The following is a 24968-nucleotide window of genomic DNA, read 5'->3' as shown; positions in this document are numbered from 1 at the left end:
GGGATGAAGGAAGATCTACCAAGCAAGTGGAAAACAAAAAAAGGCAGGTGTTGCAACCCTAGTCTCTGAAAAAACAGACTTTAAATCAACTAAGATCAAAAGAGACAAAGAAGGCCATTACATAATGGTAAAGGGATCAATTCAACAAGAAGAGCTAACTATCCTAAATATATATGCACCCAATACATGAGCACCCAGATTCATAAAGCAAGTCCTGAGTGACCTACAAAGAGACTTAGACTCCCACACAATAATAATGGGAGACTTTAACACCCCACTGTCAACATTAGATGGATCAATGAGACAGAAAGTTAACAAGGATATCCAGGAATTGAACTCAGCTCTGCACCAAGTGGACCTAATAGACATCTACAGAACTCTCCACCCCAAATCAACAGAATATACATTCTTTTCAGCACCACACCACACCTATTCCAAAATTGACCACATAGTTGGAAGTAAAGCACTCCTCAGCTAATGTAAAAGAACAGAAATTATAACAAACTGTCTCTCAGACCACAGTGCAATCAAACTAGAACTCAGGATTAAGAAACTCACTCAAAACCGCTCAACTACATGGAAACTGAACAACCTGCTCCTGAATGACTACTGGGTACATAACGAAATGAAGGCAGAAATAAAGATGTTCTTTGAAACCAACGAGAACAAAGACACAACATACCAGAATCTCTGGGACACATTCAAAGCAGTGTGTAGACGGAAATTTACAGCAGTAAATGCCCACAAGAGAAAGCAGGAAATATCTAAAATTGACACCCTAACATCACAATTAAAAGAACTAGAGAAGCAAGAGCAAACACATTCAAAAGCTAGCAGAAGGCAAGAAATAACTAAGATCAGAGCAGAACTGAAGAAAATAGAGACACAAAAAACCCTTCAAAAAATCAATGAATCCAGGAGCTGGTTTTTTGAAAAGATCAACAAAATTGATAGACCACTAGCAAGACTAATAAAGAAGAAAAGAGAGAAGAATCAAATAGACGCAATAAACAATGACGAAGGGGATATCACCACCAATCCCACAGAAATACAAACTACCATCAGAGAATAATATAAACACCTCTATGCAAATAAACTAGAAAATCTAGAAGAAATGGATAAATTCCTCGACACATACTCCCTCCCAAGACTAAACCAGGAAGAAGTTGAATCTCTGAATAGACCAATAACAGGCTCTGAAATTGAGGCAATAATTAATAGCTTACCAACCAAAAAAAGTCCAAGACCAGATGAATTCACAGCCGAATTCTACCAGAGGCACAAGGAGGAGCTGGTACCATTCCTTCTGAAACTATTCCAATCAATAGAAAAAGAGGGAATCCTCCCTAACTCATTTTATGAGGCCAGCATCATCCTGATACCAAAGCCTGGCAGAGACACAACAAAAAAAGAGAATTTTAGACCAATAACCCCGATGAACATTGATGCAAAAATCCTCAATAAAATACTGGCAAACCGAATCCAGCAGCTCATCAAAAAGCTTATCCACCATAATCAAGTGGACTTCATCCCTGGGATGCAAGGCTGGTTCAGCATACGCAAATCAATAAACATAATCCAGCATATAAACAGAACCAAAGACAAAAACCACATGAATATCTCAATAGATGCAGAAAAGGCCTTTGACAAAATTCAACAACCTTCATGCTAAAATCTCTCAATAAATTGGGTATTGATGGGACGTATCTCAAAATAAGAGCTATCTATGACAAACCCACAGCCAATATCATACTCAATGGACAAAAACTGGAAGCATTCCCTTTGAAAACTGGCACAAGACAGGGATGCCCTCTCTCACCACTCCTATTCAACATAGTGTTGGAAGTTCTGGCCAGGGCAATCAGGCAGGAGAAGGAAATAAAAGGTATTCAATTAGGAAAAGAGGAAGTCAAATTGTCCCTGTTTGCAGATGACATGATTGTATATCTAGAAAACCCCATTCTCTCAGCCCAAAATCTCCTTAAGCTGATAAGCAACTTCAGCAAAGTCTCAGGATACAAAATCAATGTACAAAAATCACAAGCATTCTTATACACAAATAACAGACAAACAGAGAGCCAAATCATGAGTGAACTCCCATTCACAATTGCTTCAAAGAGAATAAAATACCTAGGAATCCAACTTAAAAGGGATGTGAAGGACCTCTTCAAGGAGAACTACAAACCACTGCTCAGTGAAATAAAAGAGGATACAAACAAATGGAAGAACATTCCATGCTCATGGGTAGGAAGAATCAATATCGTGAAAATGGTCACACTGCCCAAGGTAATTTACAGATTCAATGCCATCCCCATCAAGCTGCCAATGACTTTCTTCACAGAATTGGAAAAAACTACTTTAAAGTTCTTATGGAACCAAAAAAGAGCCCAGATTGCCAAGTCAATCCTAAGCCAAAAGAACAAAGCTGGAGGCATCATGCTACCTGACTTCAAACTATACTACAAGGCTACAGTAAGCAAAACAGTATGGTACTGGTACCAAAACAGAGATATAGACCAATGGAACAGAACAGAGCCCTCAGAAATAATGCCGCATATCTACAACTATCTGATCTTTGACAAACCTGACAAAAACAAGCAATGGGGAAAGGATTCCCTATTTAATAAATGGTGATGGGAAAACTGGCTAGCCATATGTAGAAAGCTGAAACTGGATCCCTTCCTTACACCTTATACAAAAATTAATTAAAGATGGATTAAAGATGTAAACCTTAGACCTAAAACCATAAAAACCCTAGAAGAAAACCTAGGCAATACCATTCAGGACACAGGCATGGGCAAGGACTTCATGCCTAAAACACCAAAAGCAATGGCAACAAAAGCCAAAATTGACAAGTGGGATCTAATTAAACTAAAGAGCTTCTGCACAGCAAAAGAAACTACCATCAGAGTGAACAGGCAACCCACAGAATGGGAGAAAATTTTTGCAATCTACTCATCTGACAAAGGGCTAATATACAGAATCTACAATGAACTCAAACAAATTTACAAGAAAAAAACAAACAACCCCATCAAAAAGTGGGCAAAGGATATGAACAGACACTTCTCAAAAGAAGACATTTATGCAGCCAAAAACTGCATGAAAAAATGCTCATCATGACTGGCCATCAAAGAAATGCAAATCAAAACCACAATGAGATACCATCTCACACCAGTTAGAATGGCGATCATTAAAAAGTCAGGAAACAACAGGTGCTGAAGAAGATGTGGAGAAATAGGAACACTTTTACACTGTTGGTGGGACTGTAAACTAGTTCAACCCTTGTGGAAGTCAGTGTGGCGATTCCTCAGGGATCTAGAACTAGAAATTCCATATGACCCAGCCATCCTATTACTGGGTATATACCCAAATGATTATAAATCATGCTGCTATAAAGACACATGCACATGTATGTTTATTGCGGCATTATTCACAATAGCAAAGACTTGGAGCCAACCCAAATATCCAACAATGATAGACTGGATTAAGAAAATGTGGCACATATACACCATGGAATGCTATGCAGCCATAAAAAATGATGAATTCATGTCCTTTGTAGGGACATGGATGAAGGTGGAAACCATCATTCTCAGCAAACTATCGCAAGAACAAAAAACCAAACGCCACATGTTCTCACTCATAGGTGGGAATTGAACAATGAGAACACATGGACACAGGAAGGGGAACATCACACTCTGGGGACTGTTGTGGGGTGGGGGGAGGGGGGAGGGTTAGCATTAGGAGAGATACCTAATGCTAAATGATGAGTTAATGGGTGCAGCACACCAACATGGCACATGTATACATATGTAACAAAACTGCACGGTACCCTAAAACTTAAAGTATAATAATTATTAAAAACAAAAACAAAAACAAAAACTCTGTAACCATCATTTTCAATGGCTACATGACAACCTGCCAAAAGTATATGCTTATTTTGCTTAACAAATTTGCTTACTTTTTGCATATTTGAGTTGTTTCCAACTCTACCTTACTTTTAAGTTACTATAAGTAAATCTGAAATGACCATTTTGGTGTAGAAGTCCTTTAGGACAGACTTTCAGGAGTGGGATGACCAGGACAGGTTTCTCTTAATCCTAGGACGCTGAGTCTCAACCTCCACTCCTCTGCCCTTTACGTTCTTAAGCCAGTTACTATCTTCCACCTCATTATTTCCCCGAAGTTTGTATCAGCTTACATTCCCACCAGCCCTGGGTGGAAATTCAGGTTATTTTGAGAGGTCATTTGCAAGCTGGAAAAACCCTTCTGTTGCTGTGATCACAAGGAAAGTCACACATCTCCCTGACCTCCCATCAGGCCCAGTCTCCTGAGCCTGTCCCCAAAACAATGACACGATTAACAATCATAAGAGAATCAACAAATCTGTAGTAAATTTCAACTTCTTTCTGAGTGTTTTACATGAGTAATCTTTGCATGAGTAATGCAACCCTGATAGATTGCAACATTCCCCATTCTAGTTGTATAGATGAAGAAGCAAAGCCTCAGAGATAGGAATTTGCCCAAGGGCACACAGGTGGTGACAGTCAGAGATGTTGGCAGCCTCCTAAGACCTGACCTCTTGCCACACACTACAGGGCTTTAAAAGAAGAGAGGCAAGGACTTGTGGCTGAATGCTGAGGGTTGAATTTCCAAGAGTTTGAGAGTCATTTGCAAGTCAGGGGAAGCGGGACCTGCTGAGGTTTTCTGGATTTTGGTTTCTGTTGTGGTTTTGGCCCTAACATTTGGGTCACCTGCTACAGAGATGGAGGCCAACAGGTGGCCGCTCAAGGCTGTGCCGCTGGAAGGACAGGTCTTGTTATGCTTCTGATGTAGGCAGAGACTTTCCAAAACTTTCCAAAATTTCTGTCCCAATGACCTGGTCTAGGCTGCAGGGCCCTCAGGACTGGGTTTCCCTGAATTGAGATAGTGCAGCTACTCTACTGCTCTGAAAAACAAGACATTTTCAACTTAATATCCTTGGATATCTAACCTCCCACAAACATAAATTTAATAGCTGCAAAAATATGATTGTATATATACTCATCTCTGTGCAATTTCCCCCCCTTTATTGTTTTTTGATTTGCTCTTTATTCCTCCTTTTTTCCCTTCCTCTTGTAACAGCTGGTCTGTGTCTTGCCTGCTGCCTAGACAGAGCTGACTTATCAAGACAGGGGAATTGCAATAGAGAAAGAGTAATTCACACAGAAAGCGGGCTGTGGAGGAGATTGGAGTTTTTTTATTATTCAAATCAGTCTCCCCAAACATTTGGAAATCAGAGTTTTTAAGGATAATTTGGTGGGTGGAGGAAGTCCTGTGAGTCGAGAGTGCTGACTGGTTGGGTTGGAGATGAAATCATGGGAAGTTGAAGGTGTCCTCTTGTACTGAGTCAGTTCCTGGGTGGGGGCCACAAGATAAGATGAACCAGTTTATTGATCCAGGTGGTGCCAGCTGATCCATCAACTGCAGTGTCTGCAAGATATGTCAGGCACTGATCTTGGGAGCAGTTTAGGGAGGGTCAGAATCTTGCAGCCTCCATCGTCATGACTCCTAAACCATAATTTCTTTTTTTTAAAAAAATTTTTATTATACTTTAACTTCTAGGGTACATGTGCACAACCTGCAGGTTTGTTACATAGGTATACATGTGCCATGTTGGTTTGCTGCACCCGTCAACTTATCATTTGCATTAGGTATTTCTCCTAATGCTATCCCTCCCCCAGTCCCCCACCCTCCACCCCCCACAAGCCCTGGTGTGTGATGTTCCCCGCCCTGTGTCCATGTGATCTCATTGTTCAATTCCGACCTATGAGTGAGAACATGTGGTGTTTGGTTTTCTGTCCTTGTGATAGTTTTCTGAGAATGTTGGTTTCCAGCTTCATCCATGTCCCTGCAAAGGACATGAACTCAATCTTTTTTATGGCTGCATAGTATTCCATGGTGTATATGTGCCACATTTTCTTAATCCAGTCTATCATTGATGGACATTTGGGTTGGCTCCAAGTCTTTGCTATTGTGAATGGTGCTGCAGTAAACACACATGTGCATGTGTCTTTATAGTAGCATGATTTATAATCCTTTGGGTGTATACCCAGTAATGGGATCACTAGGTCAAATGGTATTTCTAGTTCTAGATCCTTGAGGAATGGCCACACTGTCTTCCACAGTGGTTGAACTAATTTACACCCCACCAACAGTGTAAAAGCGTTCCTATTTCTCCACATCCTCTCCAGCATCTGTTGTTTCCTGGCTTTTTAATGATCGCCATTCTAACTGGCATGAGATGGTATCTCATTGTGGCTAAACCATAATTTCTAATCTTGTAGCTAATTTGTTAGTCCTACAAAGGCAGTCTAGCCCCCAGGCAAGAGGGGGGTTTGTTCTGGGAAAGGGCTGTTACTGTCTTTGTTTTAAACTTTAAACTATAAACTAACTTCCTCCCAGAGTTAGGTCAGCCTACACCCAGGAATGAACAAGGAGAGTTTGGAGGTGAGAAGCAAGATGGGGTTGGTTAGGTCAGATCTCTTTCATTGTCTCAGCTATAATTCTGCAATGGCAGTTTCACTCCTTCCACGTTATCATCCTGCCCCCAACCTCAGGTAAACCATGTTTACAACTATTCACTCTGCCATATTTCTTCATGCCATATACGTGTGTATATATGTAACAGATATGTATGCATATAATACATGCATATATATGTACATACAAACATTTACATATACAGCATTTTGAGGTGATTAACTTATTAAAATGGATTGAGTTATGAACATTTGACTGTCGTTTGCTTTTCTTACTCAACGATGTTTGCTGAAGACTTCTTTAAGCCATTTGTTATCTTATTCATTCTTTTAAATAATGGCATAATATTTCATGGTGTGGGTATACCCACATTTATTTAGCTATGTCTCTATTAATGGTAATTTCATTTGTTTTCATTTCCCCCCCCTATGAACAATCCTGTAAGAAACACCCTCACGCATATATCCTCATGTACTGGCAATTTTATTTTTATAAGATGGATTCCCAGAAGTGGAATTGTTAGGCCAAAGGGCATACAGTTTTTGTTTTGTTTTGTTTTGTTCGTTTGTTTTTTTGAGATGGAGTCTTGCTCTGTCACCCAAGCTAGAGTGCAGTGGCGCAATCTTGGCTCACTGCAACCTCTGCCTCCAGGGTTTAAGCAATTCTCCTGCCTCAGCCTCTGAAGTAGCTGGGATTACAGGTGCCTGCCACCTCGCCCTGCTAATTTTTGTATTCTTAGTAGAGATGGGGTTTCACCATGTTGGCCAGGCTGGTCTCAAACTCTTGACCTCAGGTGACCCACCCACCTCGGCCTCCCTAAGTGCTGGGATTACAGGTGTAAGCCACCACGCCTGGCCATACAGTTTTAATTTTAGTGAAAGCCCCAGTTGGCTATCTAAAATGATTCTAGTATGTCACGTTTCCACTATAATAGAGGAAAATACCACATATTTCTCTGCATCCACACCGGCAATAGGAGTTTTAAGTTTTAATTTTCTTTTCTCATCAGAAGGGCATACGGTGATGTTTTGTAACTATGTAACATTTATTTCCATGTCTGTGAGTGAATTTGAGCATTTTTGCTGGCTTTTTGGGTTTGCTCCTCTGTGGGTTTTTAAATAATTTGATTTGTCCACTTTTCTTTGTGATGATTGTCTTTTTCTTGTCACACTTGTAAGAGCTGTTTGCATGTTTTAAGAACTAACTTTATATCATCTGTATTATAAATATTTTCCTTTGGGCAACTGCATTACTGTAAAGTTGACCCTTGAATAATATGGGTTTTAACTGCATGGCTCCACTTATATGTAGATTTTTTTCAACCAAAAGTGGATTGAAAATACAGTACTTATGGAATGCAAAAATTCCATATACAAAGGGCCAACTTTTCATATATGCCAGTTCTGCAGGACTGACTTTTGGTATAAGAGGGGGTCCTGAAACCAATCCCCTGCGTAGACTAAGGGACAACTATAGTTTGTTTATGGAATCTTTTACTGTACAAAATTTTCTTGTTTTCCTTGTAATTTTTAACAGTCAAAATATGCCTATCTTTTTTTTTAAAAAATAGCTTCTAGTTCTCAGTCTTAGTTATGAAGACCTTCTCTGCTATTTCATATACATCATGTCTTAGTCTGCTTGGTTTGTCATTACAAAACACTACAGACTCGGTGGATTAAATATCAGAAATTTATTTCTCACCATTCTGGAGGCTGGGATGTCCAAGATCAAGGTGCTGGCAATTTCAGTTTCTGGTGAGGGCTCTCTTCTTGGTTTGCAGATGGCCACCTTCTTGCTGTGTCCTCACATAGCGGAGACAAAGGAAGAGTGAGAGAAAGAGGGAGAAAGTGAGTGAGGGAGTGAGAGAGCTCATGAATGCTCTGGTATCTCTTCTTCTTCTTATAAAGACATTAATCTAATCATGAAGGCCTCACCCTTGTGGCCTCATATGACCCTAATCACCTCTCAAAGGCCCCGTCTCCTGCTGCCATTACACTTGGGGTTGGTGCTTTAACATATGAATTTGGAGGTGGTACACAAACACTCAGCCAATAACGTATTGTCTACTAGATTCTCTTTGTGAGATCTTTATTGCATTTCTGTAATACAGGAATGAGTACTACTTAAGGTAACAAGCAACTCCAAAGCCTCAGTAGCCAGCACAAGAGAGGCTTAGTTTTCAATCAGTCTTACCATGTGTGGGACAGTCAATCCCGAGCAATGAGGTGGGGACTCAGATCCCTTCCATTTGTGATGGATCTTCAACATGTGACTCCCACAGTCACTTCAGAAGAGGAAGACGGAGCAAGAGAGAGGACACCTACTCAAGGGATTTTTTGTGTTCTCTGTTACTTCCTCCTGTATTCCATTGCATGGAACCCAGCCCCACGGTCTCAACCAAAGTGGAAGAGAGGCTGGAAACTGTCTTTCTCAGTGCTCAGAAAGAGGAAAAGGATTTGTCAGGAGCTAGCCAGCCTCTACCATATTTACTTTTAATAGTCAACCTTTTAATTCAAGTGGGGTTAAAAATATATAGTATAAGACATATGTGTTCATTTAATTTTCTTCCAGATAGTTGCAGCAGCAGCAGTACCACCACCATATATTAGCTTATTCTCTTTCTGCTGAATTGAATTACTGCTTTAAAATTTTTAATTTTTTTTATTTTTCACATGAGAGCTTTTAGTTTATTAATCTGCTCATGAAAAATCCACACGATGTCTGCAGATGATGTCACTGTAGCATCTTTACTCCTATGGCTTTTCGCCAGCACCAATATTGGCCTTTGCAGTGTCCCTGGCTTTCTTCATTCCGTTCTTGTGCTTCTTTCGCTGCTTTCGTGTGGTCTTTTTCTTCTCATACAGGCCATGTCTTGCAAGTCTATGTTTGTACCCAGGCTGGCGTGTGGTAGCTATTCACAGGTGTGATCATAATTCACTCCAGCTTCTATCTCCTGAGCTCAAGCCATCCTCCCACCTTAGCCTCTTCAGTATCTGGGACTACAGGTGTGTGTCATGCTCTTGACTTCTAGTGTGTTCTTAACCTACTGGATTTGCATTTTTTTTTTTTTGAGACGGAGTCTTGCTCTGTCTCCCAGGCTGGAGTGCAGTGGCGCGATCTCGGCTGACTGCAAGCTCCGCCTCCTGGATTCACGCCATTCTCCTGCCTCAGCCTCCCGAGTAGCTGTGACCACAGGCACCCGCCACCACGCCCGGCTAATTTTTTGTATTTTTAGTAGAGACGGGATTTCACCGTGTTAGCCAGGATGGTCTCGATCTCCTGACCTCGTGATCTGCCCGCCTCGGCCTCCCAAAGTGCTGGCATTACAGGCGTAAGCCACCGCGCCCGGCCTGGATTTGCATTTTTTTTTTTTTTTTTTTTTTGAGACGGAGTCTTGCTCAGTTACCCAGGCTGGAGTGCAGTGGCATGATCTCGGCTGACTGCAAGTTCCGCCTCCCGGGTTCACTCTATTCTCCTGCCTCAGCCTCCTGAGTAGCTGGGACTACAGGCACCCGCCCCGACGCCCAGCTAATTTTTTTGTATTTTTAGTAGAGACGGCGTTTCACCACATTAGCCAGGATGGTCTCGATCTCCTGACCTCGTGATCCGCCCGCCTCGGCCTCCCAAAATGCTGGGATTACAGGCGTGAGCCACCGCGCCCGGCGGATTTGCATTTTTTAAATCTTTCTAGCCTCTGTGGAATTCTCTTCCTTTCCCACTGGCTCATAAGCATCTTTTAAAAATCCACCATTTTTAGTTGTGCTGTGTGGGAGGTCTTTTGCTGAGCATCTTGTCAGCTACATGATTGGAAAATCTGACCTGCCATCATGTAGCATAATGGCTGCTTATTTTTATGTGGCCAAATTTGTTCAGTTTCTGTCAGTGCAGCATCCTCTGCTAGACACTATGAGACACAAAGATAAATAAACATTGGTCCTCTCTCTCAGGGAAGCTTATGCTCTAACAAGCGGATGCAAGAAGACATGGGGTTTGAAGGCCTTGCTGAGTGCAAGAAGCTCTGTTCTGAACTGTGTCAATAAGTTGAGGTGTGGATGGGCTGCCCTTCAGGAACTACCTTCAGGCAGTTCTCAGCCTGAGGGAGATTTTCTTCATCTAAATTGAAATCTCCTGCCCCCCAAACTCAGCTCTGCCCTTAGGAGCTCTGCTGAAGCAATCTCGCCCTGCAGATTTTGAAGACACACATAGTTAGCCTGTGGTGTTTTGTTCTGTTTTTAGCTGCCTTTTAGTCACATCTCTATTTGGGAGAATTCCCCAGTTTGTGCGACTTAGTGGGAGGCGTTTCCTTCCCAATATGGCATCTGCAAAGGGCCAGCTTCTCTCTCTGCCTTTGGCAGCTTAGGGTGGGTTCATGACTATGTCTGGGCTGTTGGAGGATCCCACCTGGACTCTGAGCCTGGAAGGAACAATGCAATTTGCAGGGACAAGTTATAGGTTACTGATAAGTAAAGGTAGAGACAAGAGTCCAGAGACGGTGGCATCGACAGTCCAGTGGAACCGGCAGTGCCTGCAGTGCCCTCCCAACTAGGCTGCCCCTTGTGGCTGTACCGGTTGTATGACTTCCTGCCCAGCCTCCCTGGTTTGCCTTCCAAGCCTAGCTCCCCAGCATTCCAGTCATTTCTATGATCTATTAATATGTTCTTTTTTTTTATTTTTTGAGGAAGGTCTCACTCTGTCGCCCAGGCTGGAGTGCAATGGCATGATATTACCTCACTGCGACCTCTGCCTCCTGGGTTCAAGCGATTCTCCTGCCTCAGCCTCCCAAGTAGCTGGGATTACAAGGCACCCGCCACCATGCCTGGCTAATTTTTATATTTTTAGTACAGACGGGGTTTCACCATGTTGGCCAGGCTGGTCTTGAACTCCTGGCCTCAAGTTATCCGCCTGCCTCAGCCTTGCAAAGTGATGGGATTACAGGCGTGAGCCACCACACCTGGCTGATCTACCAATGTGTTCTTTTTCTGCCTAAGTTAGCCAGAGTTGATTTTTATTATTGACAAGAGCTACAACTGGTACAAAAGCTCATATGCCCAGAACCAACCCCCCTTTCGTTATAATGCCAAATATTGCTGTCCTGGCTTCTGCCCTTCCGTGAGGGTTGCCAGCCAGTAGAATGTTCTCAGATACCAAAGGAGCTCACTCCATGGTAGGAAAGCCAGTAGAGCCTTGTCCAGGGCCTTACCTAAGGCCAGCACTGCCCCTCTACTAACTGTTCCTGGGGGCACATAAGCAACCAATTCCGTGGAAGGTGTACAAAGGCCTTGGTGTACCTTATTTAAGTACAATAAACAGTGACTACCATTAATCCAAATTTGCTTCCATTGAGAAGGAAAAAAGATTTGCATGGAAGCGTCAGGGGACTCAGGCCTATGTTAGGGATCTTTTAGAGTGTCTTTCAAAACATGGCTTGTCCCCTTTAAAGAAATGTGTGTTTCCTTTTCAAATATGTCCTATTTTCCATAATTTACCAAGTATTACTGTTGATAAATCTGACGATACTTAAGATATTTATTTTAAAATGATAGGGTACAAAATATTTGAGCCTGGAGACAAACTGAGAGTACCTGGGGGCTCTCTGGTTCTTTCTCCTGAGTATGGATATTAGTCCCAGTACATGGCCAAAGGGAGGTGTGCATGACTTGGGCCTGGCTAATTGTGGAACCCAAATTCTGGGCAATGGTGATTGGTTCTAACTGTGGAAACTGAAGTATGGTCAGACCCCTTTCCTGGGATTCTTCTAGAGACCCTGGGAGAGAGAAATTCTCTCCCTCCTGGGTTTGCTGGGCTGTGGGTGGTCATCTTCCTGCCCTGAAGATAGAAGCCTAGGGAGACAAGCAGAGATGAGAAAGATTGAGAGAAAGCAAATGGGAGGGAGAAGACAAAACAGTGCAATAGTGACAGAGGAAGACGGAGAGAGACAGGCAGCCTCCTGACTGTGCTGAGACTCGCCAAGGCTCTTTCTGGCCAGGAGCCCACATCCTGCAGTTCTTCTGATTCAGAAAGTAACACCAATTGCCCTTCTTTCCAAACCCCCTCCCTCCTCACTGTCAGCTGATAGGAGTTGGGTTTATGTCACTTGCATCCAAGAGTCTTCATTAAAATACCATATTAGGCTGGAATTCATGGTGGTGTCTATTGGGCCCTTTCCAACTTGAGGACAGTTTCCTGTGGTGGAGACAAGGTGTTCGGAGAGAGATGTTGCTGAGTTTTGCTTTCTCTTTGTCGATCCTCAACATTGGAGCCTTCTTTTTGGGCCATGGGCCTTCCCCTTCCTTGATTTTCTGCTCTGTCTGAGCATAACTTGACTGGCCTCTCTGGGGTCTTTAGCAGTTTTCATAAGTCCTGTTTACTCTGGACTTTGGATATGTCTACATTATTCTTAGAATTTCTATCTAAATTTTCCAAGCTCTTCCTTCTATTTTGTGGATTTGTTCATGTATTATTAATTTTGAAACATACCTATATGTGTAATCATAAAAGCAATCTCTGTTTAGTATTAAAAAAAAACCCGTGAAAATCCAGAAATGACCAAAAGATGGCTGGTCCTGGCAGTGCGTGCTTGTAGTCCTAGCTACTTGGGAGGCCAAGGCAGGAGGATTGCTTGAGCCCAGGAATTTGAGGCTGCAGTGAGCTATGATCATGTCACTGCACTCTAGTGTGGTGATAGAGCCAGACTCTGTCTCTAAATAAAGATAAAAAGAAATGACCAAAAGAGAAAAAAAGACCAAAAAAAGACCAAGAGAAAAAATAAATGACCAAAAGAGAAAAAGAAATGTAAAATAATGTAATCTCTGCACTCAAAGGAAAATGTTGTTAATATTTTTATATGTAGTTTTCTCTTTTTTTCTATACATATCTGGTCTATGGTATTTTAAAATCCACTTCTGGCTGGACATAGTGGCTCATGCCTGTAATCCTAGCACTTTGGGAGGCTGACTCACTTGAGGTCAGGAGTTCGAGACCAGCCTGGCCAACATGGTAAAACCCAGTCTCTACTAAAAATACAGAAATTAGCCCGGTGTGGTGGCATATGCCTGTAATCCCAGCTACTTGGGAGGCTGAGGCAAGAGAATTGCTTGAACCCAGGAGGTGGAGGTTGCAATGAGCCGAGATCGCGCCACTGTACTCCAGCCTGGGTGACAGAGTGGGACTCCATCTCAAAAATAAATAAATAAATAAAATCCACTTTCAACAGCAGGGGAGAAATCACTGCCTCCCAAGGATGTCACTTTCATGACTCTGTTTGGTTCTTTCTTTTCACTCAGATATAAACACTGAGAAACCATACAACTTCCTCTTGTTATTGCCTCCCTTTTCTAACTTAAATGATCAGAGAGGCAAGATAATACCTTATTAGGCACTGCAGCTTTAGCAGAACTTGACTTCTTGGGGAGGCCCCTTTCCCATCTCCATCTGCCAGCTTGATGCATCTAAATTTATTTTAGGAGGTCTATTAAGGGAGGAATCCCATGCTTTTGATCTGGCTGTGGATGTGTTTGTGTGTGCATTTCTAGCATGAGCGCATTTCCGTTTTTGCTCATACCCTCACTGAAATAACAGCCTCTTCAGGTTAATAGATTTTCATACACGTGCACATTTTTTGTGCCCTTTGGTGCTACTTCCCATTCCTCTAGTTTAGGAGTATTACAGTCTCCGTCTCTAGGGTGGAGCAGGTCTGGATTGAACTACTGTTTTGGGCACTTAGTTCCCTGGCCCAGAACAAGTTATTTAGCCTCTCGGATCTGATACTGCTTGGATGTGAGGAATAGGGATAAGTCCATCTGAAAGAATCAGGGTTGGGCTTCTGTGAAGAAGGCAGTAATACTCAGGAATCTCAGGAATCCAGGGAAGAATTCCCTCAAGTAAGCACTGTCATAAGCACTATACAAAGTCTCACCGTCTCCTGTGCCTCAGAGCCTAAAACTCATTTTAGGAAGGATAAAGTTTTTCTCTAGAACCAGAGATAGGAGAATCTAGTCCCTTGGAGCTATACTAGACTGAGGGGTCAGTGACTGATAGGAAATCTTATGGAAGTGTTTGGATAAGAGGTAAAGGAACAGGGCTGAGTGAGGAGTAGGAGTGGGGATCATAAGGAATCGGAGTACAGCAGACCACAGACGAAGAGTCCTGGCTATGGATGCCCTGACGGTTGTTTAATCCTTTGCTGTTTCCTGAACACACTGTTTACTGAGCCAGATGCCTTGAGGTATGGGCTTTCCCATGTTCACATTTGCTCTCCTGAGCATTCTTTGTACACAATAAAATGGCTGATATTAAGGTCTTGGAAGCAATTAGATTTCAAGGAACCATCTCCTACCAGGATATGCATTAAAAATCCACAGTGGATCTGGGCCCACAGGGCACCTATTATTTACCTGAAAGAGCCCTCCAGAAGAGGGTGGGACTCTCTGGGGCCTTAAGTTTCATCTTGGAAACATACTGGCACCAGGAGGACCAGAAACCCCACTCTCCCTCCCCTCCTCCATTTACAAGTGTGTAAATGGGAGGTTGGGCTATGAGGCTGGGAGTCCCCTAGAGCTGTTATGAGTACAAATAGACACACAGTTCCCTGGCACCGGTCATCTGTCTGCTCAGTGAGTGGGAGGGCTGGTACCTTCTCTTGTTTCTGAGACCCAGGTAGCAAAGGAGTTTGGTGAGTACTGAGAGAAGCCTGGGTGTAAGAATGTAAATGAGTTTAGAAGGATGAATAAGAGGTACTCCCTTCCTTTCTTAACTTGGGATGAGGAACAGGTGAGGCAGGGGAAATCAGGAAAAGAAATATTGATGAGGCTGACTGCTTTTCTTATTCTGAGCAAAGTTCTTTGCTGCCAAAGTGCTAGGGTAGAATTCAAAGATGAACAGTGTTTATTCATTCATCCAGCAAATAACTACCAATCAGGCAGCCACTGATGTGTGTTGGTATACACAGAATAAGACAGACACAGTCTCTGCTCAAGGAACTCATTGCTCATGTATACCTCTGCATTTGTTCACACCATTCCCTTTGCCTGGCCTTCTCTCCATGTATTCCAGGGTTTCTCAACTTGGGCACTATTGGGACATTTTGGGCTGGATAATGCTTTGTTATGGGGAACTTTCTGCACATTGTAGGACTTTAAGCAGCATCATTGGCTTCTGTCCACTAAATGCTACCCCCCATCCCAGGTTGTGACATCCAAAAATGCTTCTAGACATTGCAAATGTCTCCTGGGGGCCAATGGAACCACTGACCCATTTTGAATTTATTCAACTTTCATGTCCTCATTCAAGTCCCACCTCTTCCATGAAGCTTGCTTTGGTTAATTCTGGTCATGCTAATTTCTCCTTTCTTTGGTCTCCTGTACCAATTATTGCTGCTGCTTTCCAATTTACTGTGTAATAATCCACTCCCTTCTTTTGGTCACTGTTTGGAAGGAAACAGCCTTGAAAATGGTCCTGGAGATGTAGATTTCATTCAGGCACCATGGCAAACCTGTTACATCTCCTAGAATAAGTTGCTTCCATTCTGCATGGAGACCCCAGTTTCCTCAGCTGTCAAATCAATTGCAGTGCTACTCAGAAATTTTCAGCCACAAATCATCAAAGATATGGAGGGGCCAATTGCACAGGTTTCTTAAAATGAAGCAGTTTTTATTTTTTACACATTGAGTCTCTGTATGGTGTTGGGATGGTATCATGGCTGACACATGTCCGAAACCACTAGATCATCTTAAAGGCTTTTCTAACATTTGATCATGAGATTTCATTTGTATTAAATTATTTCTCTTAATTAGGCTGTGAATGCTTTCAGTGCCTGCTACCTTGGTGATTTCCATAGTGCCACCTAGCTCAGTGCTGGCTTCACAAGAAGTTTGGTCAATATTTGCTGTTTGATCATGTTTTTAATTCTACAGCCAAAGATGATTTTGCTCAGATGCTGGGTCCTGGCATTAGGAATCTCCCTGCATCAATTAGGAGTGTTTTTGTTTGCAAATTATAGAAAGCCTACCCACAGTAGCTTGAAACAAGAGTGGTTTCTTTTTCTCACATAAGAGAAAAGCAATGTTAGGGCTGGTGCCTTGGAGATTTTCTGGGCCTTTCCTTCATGCATGTCTCCTCATGGTCATGAAAAGGCTGCTTCAACTCTATATGACACATCTGCATTCAAGTCTAGGATCAATACCAAGATCAGTGCCCGCCCCATCTGTCTCTTATTAGCAAAGCTGAAGCTTTCCCAGAACTCTCCTACCAAACTTTTGATTACATCTCCTTGGCCAGAACTGTATCACATGACCACTCCATGATACAGGTATATTGGGAGAGTGAATATTTAGCTACTGCAGCCTCTCTAATGGAAAGAAGTAAAGGGAAAGGAGGTAGAGGATGGGTGCTATGCTGCCCAAGCAGCAGGGTCTGCCATCATCCCTATTCAAAAGCTCCAGCACCTATAGCCCTGAAAGGCAGGCAGCCAGAGGACCACAGCATAGGGCACTGCACCTTGACTGGTGTTTCTGTCTCAGCAGTGCAGCCTCGATCCTCTGAACTCACCCACTGCCCCAGCATTGCTCCAGGCGGTTCTCTGAGAGCAGGGACAATGGTTCAGTGCTCCTAGAGTAGGGATTAATCCATCTGTGGTTTAGGTTTCTCTTTTCTCTTGGCAGAGTTTGCAGTTGGAATCAAAGGCTCTCCAACAAGGAAACAACTAAGTAAGTTAAACAATACTGCCTGTTTTTGAAATCCCATGGGTTTAACTGGGATTAGAAGTACAATCTGAGCATTAGCCCAATAAATTCTTTGATCCTTTATGCTGGCTGAAGCAAGGGAACCAATAAAAAGAATCATCTTCTTCCATTCTTATCTCTTTACTGACCCCTGCAACAGCCCCCTCATACACACTGCTTTCTGATTCATTTATCTGCTTATGTCCCTCTTTTTTTTTTTTTGAGACAGTCTCACTCTGTCACCCAGGCTGGAGTGCAGTGGCATGATCTCGGCTCACTGCAAGCTCCCCTCCCGGGTTCATGCCATTCTCCTGCCTCAGCCTCCCGAGTAGCTGGGACTACAGATGCCTGCCACCATGCCCGACTAAATTTTTTATTTTTATTTTTTGTATTTTTAGTAGAGACGGGGTTTCACCATGTTAGCAAGGATGGTTTCAATCTCCTGACCTCGTGATCCACCCGCCTTGGCCTCCCAAAGTGTTGGGATTACAGGCATGAGCCACCGTGCCTGGCCATGTCCCTCTGTTCTTAAAAACTTCTGATCCTCATTTCTATCCAAAGTCCATATCAGACTTCTGCTTCTAATAGAGGCAGACTAGCTAATATGGGCCAACCTTCCCTCTGAAAACAACTAACAAATTCAGAGAAAACATTTAAAAAAAATTCCCTAAAATATCAAAAGCTAATAAGATAGTGAGGAAGCAAGCCAAGATCTAGGAGACAATGAGGCTCTAGAGAGGCAAGCTTGGCATTTAGGGCTACTTTTGCCCAGGGGGCACTGGCTCATCTAAAGAGAAGACAGAGAGATGAGCCATGTTTTTGAAAACTGTGGGTGGCTAGGTGCCCATAAGTTCGAATCTACTGCTTCCTTTCTTTTCCATGGTGGAGACCCTGGTAAACTACTTGGCACTCAGAGTTGGGGCCCCGAAGGGCTGCACTGTCAGACTAAGCTGGAATTAAACTTCACATGGATTCTAGCCTTAGTCATCTGGGTGGCTCAAAAAATTTGAAGCTTTGACTTTGAATTGAAGCAATCTTTGTTGGATTACTAGTGTCTCTAGATGCCTGGCATAGAAACTGAAAATCATGTCCAGAAGAAGATATCATCCTAAGTCTCACATTATTTCTACAGATACTTTTTCAAACGTAATGTTCAACACACAGTAATAAATAACCAAGCAAATGAGGAATGAAGACAACATTCAAAGAACAGCACAAACAAGAAGTAACAGAAAGATATTCATGGTCATTATTGACAGTGGGATTACCAGGCACTCTAAAGCAACATTATAATATACTCAAGAAAACAAAGACCTGGCCGGGTGTGGTGGCTCACGCCTGTAATCCCAGCACTTTGGGAGGCCGAGGTGGGCGGATCACCTGAGGTCAGGAGTTCGAGACCAACCTGGTCAGTATGGTGAAACCCCACCTCTACTAAAAATACAAAAATTAGCCAGGTGTGGTGGCAGGCACCTGTAATCCCAGTTACTCAGGAAGCTGAGGCAGGGGAATGGAATCGCTTGAACCCGGGAGGTGAAGCTTGCGGTGAGGAGAGATTGTGCCATTGCACTCTAGCCTGGGCAACAGAGCAAGACTCCGTCTCAAAAACAAAAACAAAAACAAACAAAGAAAGTAAAGGCCAAACTTGAAATTTGTTGGCAAGGATTGGAAATTGGAAGCTATAAAAAGTAATTGTCCACATTTGATAGAGAACCTCTAGAAACACTCTAATTAAAAATATAATAACCAAAATCAAGATCTCAATGATGTATTTAGCAGCAAATAAATACAGTTAATGAAAGAACTAGGAGAAAGGTCAAAAGCAACTATCCAGACTTAACTCAGGAAAAAGCATGAAAATTCAGAGGAGTCAGAGACATATGCAGTTTGATCAGCATGTATGCTAAATGTGTACCTATTCAAATGGGATCCCCAATGGAGAGAAGAGAGTGAGCATTTGAAAAGATAATGGTTGAGAATTCCCCCAAACAGATAAAAATCCTACGAATCTCAAGCAGCATAAATAAAATGTACTCATACCTAGACATATCATAGTCCAATTTCAGAAGACCAAAATCAAAGAGAAAAATTTTAAAAGCAGACAAGTGACAATAGACAGAAGCAACAATTAGAATGCTGGTAAACCAGGTGCAGTGGTGCCTGCCTGTAGTCCAAGCTACTCAAGAGGCTGAGGCGGGTGGGAGGATTGCTTGAGGCCAGGAGTTCGAGGCTGCAGTGAGCTATGATTGCACCTGTGACTAGCCATGGCACTCCAACCTGGGCAACACTGTGAGACCCTCATCTCCAAGAACAAAAAGAATGACAGCAGACTTCTCAAAAATGATAACAGAAATAAGAAAATAGTAGAATGATATTTTCAATTTGGCCAATCTAGAATTCTACACCTAGTAAAAATATTTTTCAGTAATCATGGTAAAATAAAGTCAGTGAAATAAAAACTGAAAGAAGCTGCCACCAAGAGACCTGCACTAAAGGAAATTCTGACAGATATTCTTTGGGTAAAGAGAAGATCCCAGATGAAAGCTTGGAGATGAAGGAAAAATTGAAGAGGAATGAAAATGGAAACAACACAGGTAAATATAAATGAATACTGACTATGCAAAATGAAAATAATAATGACTAGTGGGGTTTAAAATACATACTCAAGATCCATGATAACGATAGCAAGTCAGGAGGGAGGTAATAGAGTTAAAGTGTTCTAAGGTCCTTGCATTGTCTGGGAGGACGGAAAATTAAGAGTTAACATTAATGTTTAATAAATCAATGATATATGTTGTAATTTCAAGAGTGGCCACTAATAGCCTAATAAAAGTATGAAAAATCCTCCCATCAAGCCCACTTTCAGTGGCATATGTAGTGCCACCACCAGTTCTATCTTTGACTTTCACAGCTCCCCTTCATAGCATCTCTGCTATTTGCTACAGCTATTAGATATATTCACTGCCCCAGACAATGTTGATTGTTCCAGTCTCTGTTCATTTATTAGTCTATTCTCTGCTCCTGGGAGGCTTTCTTCTCATATCTGTTCACATCCTTTTCTGTCCAGTCATCATGCAATTTCTGCCTCTGCCCCAATCATGTTTCCCCTAACTACTCTGCCACCCACAGTTTCTCTGTCCACCAAACTCCTAAATCCTTAATGGAATGACTCACTTAAGATTGGATTTATTATACACTTATTACGTTGTGGCTATTTGGAGAATATGTTTTATTTTTCCTAAAATAGAGGTTCCTTGAGGATAAGGATCATGTCTTTAATAAGTTTTTAACTCCTATGTGTCTATCACTATGCCTTGCCAAGGAGACACTTTGTGTTTTATTTGTACTCTGTGTAAATAATTTTTACAGAAATAGGTAACCATGGAAAGCCATTTAATATCTGTGAGTTGTTTTACAGCTGTTAAAATGATTAAAACAATACCTACTCTAATTCTTAAGGTTGATGAGAAGTTGAAATGGGCTAATGGATATGAAATAATTTGTATTATGTAATGTACTATAAAGAATTACTAACAGTTGCTGGGTGTGGTGGCTAATCCCAGCACTTTGGGAGGTTGAGGTGGGTGGATCACCTGAGGTCAGGAGCTCGAGACCAGCCTGGCCAACATGGTGAAACCCCATCTCTACTAAAAATATAAAAATTTAGCTGAGGATGGTGGTGGGTGCCTGTAATCCCAGCTACTCGGGAGGCTGAGGCAGGAGAATCACTTGAACCTGGGAGGTGGAGGTTGCAGTGAGCCGAGATCGGGCCTGGGTGACAAGAGTGAAACTCCGTCTCAAAAAAAAAAAAAAATTACTAACAGTAATAAGCATTGATCAAATCATTGGGGTAACACGAAGAGCTTTAAATTATCAATGATTAGAGATCAAAAAGAACCAGAAAGCCACTATCTGAGCCCTCAGTTGACAAAAGGATTCAATTCATCCATTCATTCACTCATGCATTGATGATTACTGTAGTGGCTAACATTGTGTCAGACACTGAACGTGCAGAAGTACAAGTTTCTGCTCACACCTCGCTCAGTCTGGTGGGTGACCTGATAAAGGTGGTAAATGGATATAACATTTACAAGGTGCTACAACAACACAGAAGGGAGACACCTGACCTTGGGAGGTGTGAGATGGCCTTCCTGGAAGAGATAATCACAAAACAAGTCTTACAGGACAAATAGGAGATAGTAATGGAAGAAAAAGGCTATGTCAGGAAGAGCAGCATATGTAAGCCTGGGTTTCAAAGAGGAAATCTCTTTAGAGAAAGTTTTATCAGTTTTATGTAGATGAGAAAGACTGTTGCCTTAAGAGACTGGACAGTTACATGAGGACCACATCAGTGAGGGCCTTGTATGGCCTCATGAACCACATTAAAAAGTATCAGCTCTCTTCTGTGCAAGGGACTCGCCAGATCATTTAGTCCAGTTTGTCACCAAATGACAGCATGAATCAGAAACACTTGGAGGGCTGTTGAAAGACATTCCTGGGCTCTCCGCTGAGTCCCTCATTCAGTAGATCTAGGACTGGCCTATAGTTTTCATTTCTAACGAGGTCCCAGCTGATGCTGATGTTGCTGGTCTGGGGACCAATTTGAGAACCACTTCTCTAGTCCAGCCTTTTCTTTCAGATAAACCACTGAGCACTAGAGGTGAAATTCATTAACGAAAGTCGTCAGCTCAAATAGGGCAAACTAACCGAGCAACCAGAGCTGATATCCGCCTTCCCCTAAACCCTTCGCAGTGGAGCTGTCCCTTCCAGGATCATCAGTAGCCTTACCTCCCTCCCTCCCCTTCAAGAATCCCACCCCTTCAGTGCTCTGCTTTTAGCGTCTGTAAGGGAAGGAAATTGGTTGCACCAACTTATGTTAGGATTTACTTTTAAAGAAGGTCCTTAGGAAAGGCAGCGTTTTAACCTAAGGGAGTGCATTTTCAAGAGTGGATTTTCAGGCAGGGAGCGCAGCAGGCGTTTCCCGACATGCCCGTGAGCAAGACTCGATCACGGCCCAGAAACCCTGCTTTGCAGAGGTGACCACCCCGGCCCGCCCGGAAGAACCGGGCCCGAGCTGCCGCGCCGCCACGGTGACTCGGCCATAAGACCCGCCAGACGGGTAAGGTTCCTGGTCTGAGGCTGCCCCTTCGGCTTTGCACAGCTTCCTCGTGCCGCCGCGCCCCGCCGCTGATTCCACGCTGCGAAGCGTGGGCCCAAGCACTGCGGCACTTGAGTCATAGCTTCATAAGCGACTTTCCTGAGAATGCTAGGGCTTGGGGTGATATTACGGACGGTAGCGTAACGTCCCTTCGGAAGGAACCCAGCTTCCAGCAGCCCAGTGCGCCGCCCTTCTCCTTCCCCCCATTTCTTCCCGCCCAGCCAAGAGTGTCAGGCAAACCCTTCCCGGCTGCCGGCAACCCAACAGTTCCGCCTTCTTCAGGGTTCTCAAGCTCAGAGTCTTCCAACCTTCCAAATACAGCATTCTGCCCAGGAGGTATTTCTTAAGGTTGTTGAATTCTCTGAGTCTTGAAGCTTGTAGGTCATCCCCTGTGTCTGTCTTGTTCTCTGCAGTTTAAGACAGGCTTAATAATAGCAACTAATTTTATTATTATTATTAACAGCTGCCTGAACAATGTCATGCCCTGTCTCTTTAATTGATTCAGTATATTGCTCATGGGTCTTCCATCTACATTGTCCTTCATTAGGCATGTGGGGCATTCAAACATGGACAGCACACACTTTCTGCACTCCAGGAACTTAAATATAATGTTGGGAAAACAAATACCACAGGAAGAGTTAACATACCATTCTCCAGCATTTTAGGTAGGAATGATACACACATGTTACCATCTGTGAATGGTAGAAGAAAGTCACCTGAGTGGGCAGTGGAGGCTTCAGAAAGGAGGTGGGGCTTGAAGTGTACTTTGGTGGGCTAGGTAGCTATTAGTTGGGTGGACAGGAGAAGAGGGGTCCTTTCCACATTGGAAGTGGAGTAGGAGGGAAGTGAGGTGAGGAATGACATGACCAAGGTTGGGGATGGGAAGACTGACATAGGTGGGAGGTGTATGTTGACATGTGAACCTTCATCTCCAAGAGATACAGTCCTATCTTTGTATTTTGGGTGACCATCAGCCTTAGTAATGCAACAAGATGTGACACTCCCCTCCCTATCTGGCCCCACCTGAGACCTAAGACAAAGACTGAGTAACACAGTCCTGTGGGCTCTGGCTTTTATGCCTCCCTCAAAGCCACTGGGAAATGGCACATACCTTTGGCAGGCACATGAGGTCCAAACAGAGAAACAGGAAGCTGTCTGGGTTTTATGGGCAGCCACATAATAGAAGAGTGATGTTTGTCTTCTAGGGTGATGTTTATGATTAAGAAGACCTGTTTAAACATGGTTAGTGGGTTATTCAAACCCCATTTAGGGAGAGCTAAAGGAAACCTTAGTTTCTATGGGTTCTTAGTTAATAATCAGAGCAGGGCTGGAAGAGAAGGACAGGATGTGGTGAGCAGAGGGGAAGAGAGAGGATTCCCAGGGGAAGACTAAAGTTGATAAGACACTCTGAACATTACTTCATATACTAAGGCTTTATTTATTCTAACAGACCTTTTCTCCTTGAAAAGATAATAAAATCTGTAATATCATCACTTCAAAGGAAAGGAAGCATTAAATCATTTTAGATTCAGAGGGTAGCAAGTTTTAATTAGGACTTACTACTGGGGGAGGCAGTGGGAGTGGGCATCTTCTCACATCTGGTGTAAAATTGATGATCTTTTTCTGGTTTGTGTAGAAGGCTATGAATAGAAGATGGAGAAGAAACACCAGGGAGACTGCTTGGTGTTCAGGCCCTCTCCTCCTAGGTCTCTACACAAATGCTGCATTGATTTCTCTCTTCTAGTCTTCACCTTGGAGATTCTTTAGGGCTACTAAATTCTTCTTTTAAGGTGGGGCATGGTGGCTCACACCTGTAATCCCAGCACTTTGGGAGGCTGAGGCAGGTGAATCATTTTAGGTCAGGAGTTCGAGACCAGCCTGGCCAACTTGGTGAAACCCCGTCTCTACTAAAAATACAAAAAAATTAGCAGGGCTTAGTGGCACCTGCCTGTAATCTCAGCTACTCAGGAGGCTGAGGCAGGAGAATTAATTGAACCCAGGAGGTGGAGGTTGCAGTGAGCTGAGATCAAGCCACTGCACTCCAGTCTGGGTAACAGAGTGAGACTCTATTAAAAAAAAATTATTCCTTTAAAATGAAACACTTTAATGGGAGGAGAGGAAGGATAATAGAAGGGTAAAGAAGGAAGAAGGCCAACCTGGCAAACATGACAAAACCCTGTCTCTACTAAAAATACAAAAATTAACCTGGTGTGGTGGCACACACCTGTAATCCCAGCTACTCAGGAGGTGAGATGGGAGGACTGCTTGAACCCAGGAGGTGGAGGTTGCAGTGAGCTGAGATCATGGCATTGCACTGCAGCCTGGGTAAAAAGAAAGAAGGAGAAGGAGAAGGAGAGGGAAGGAGGGGGAGAGGGAGGGGGAGGGGGAGGGAAGAAGAAGAAAGAAGAAGAAGAAGGAAGAAGAAGGGAAAAGAAAGAAGGAGAAGGAGGAGAAGAAAGAAAAAAGAAGAAAGAAGGAAGAGAGGCATAAGACCAGAAGGATTCTAAGGTTTAGGGCATCTTGAGGGAAGAAGATCTGAGAGGGGATCTTCAGAGGACCTTGGAGAGAACTGG

At 43.0% G+C, this 24968-nt stretch overlaps 1 long non-coding RNA gene across 1 annotated transcript in view; it reads left to right on the top strand.

The window, feature by feature from the left end:
* Positions 1-15100: 15100 nt before the first annotated feature.
* The window catches only part of LOC105372093 (uncharacterized), a 176501-nt gene continuing 166633 nt past the window's right edge, over positions 15101-24968 (top strand). Inside the window, exons 1-3 of the long non-coding RNA XR_935423.3 lie at positions 15101-15190; positions 17178-17222; positions 19663-19831. This is a non-coding gene — a long non-coding RNA (uncharacterized LOC105372093). The remainder of the gene's footprint in view (positions 15191-17177; positions 17223-19662; positions 19832-24968) is intronic.

The sequence above is a fragment of the Homo sapiens genome, chromosome 18, assembly GCF_000001405.40.
Source record: "Homo sapiens chromosome 18, GRCh38.p14 Primary Assembly".
In the NCBI taxonomy this organism is placed as follows: domain Eukaryota; kingdom Metazoa; phylum Chordata; class Mammalia; order Primates; family Hominidae; genus Homo; species Homo sapiens.
The sequence above is the reverse complement of the archived record's forward strand: the minus strand, read 5'-3'. Positions and strand labels throughout refer to the sequence as shown.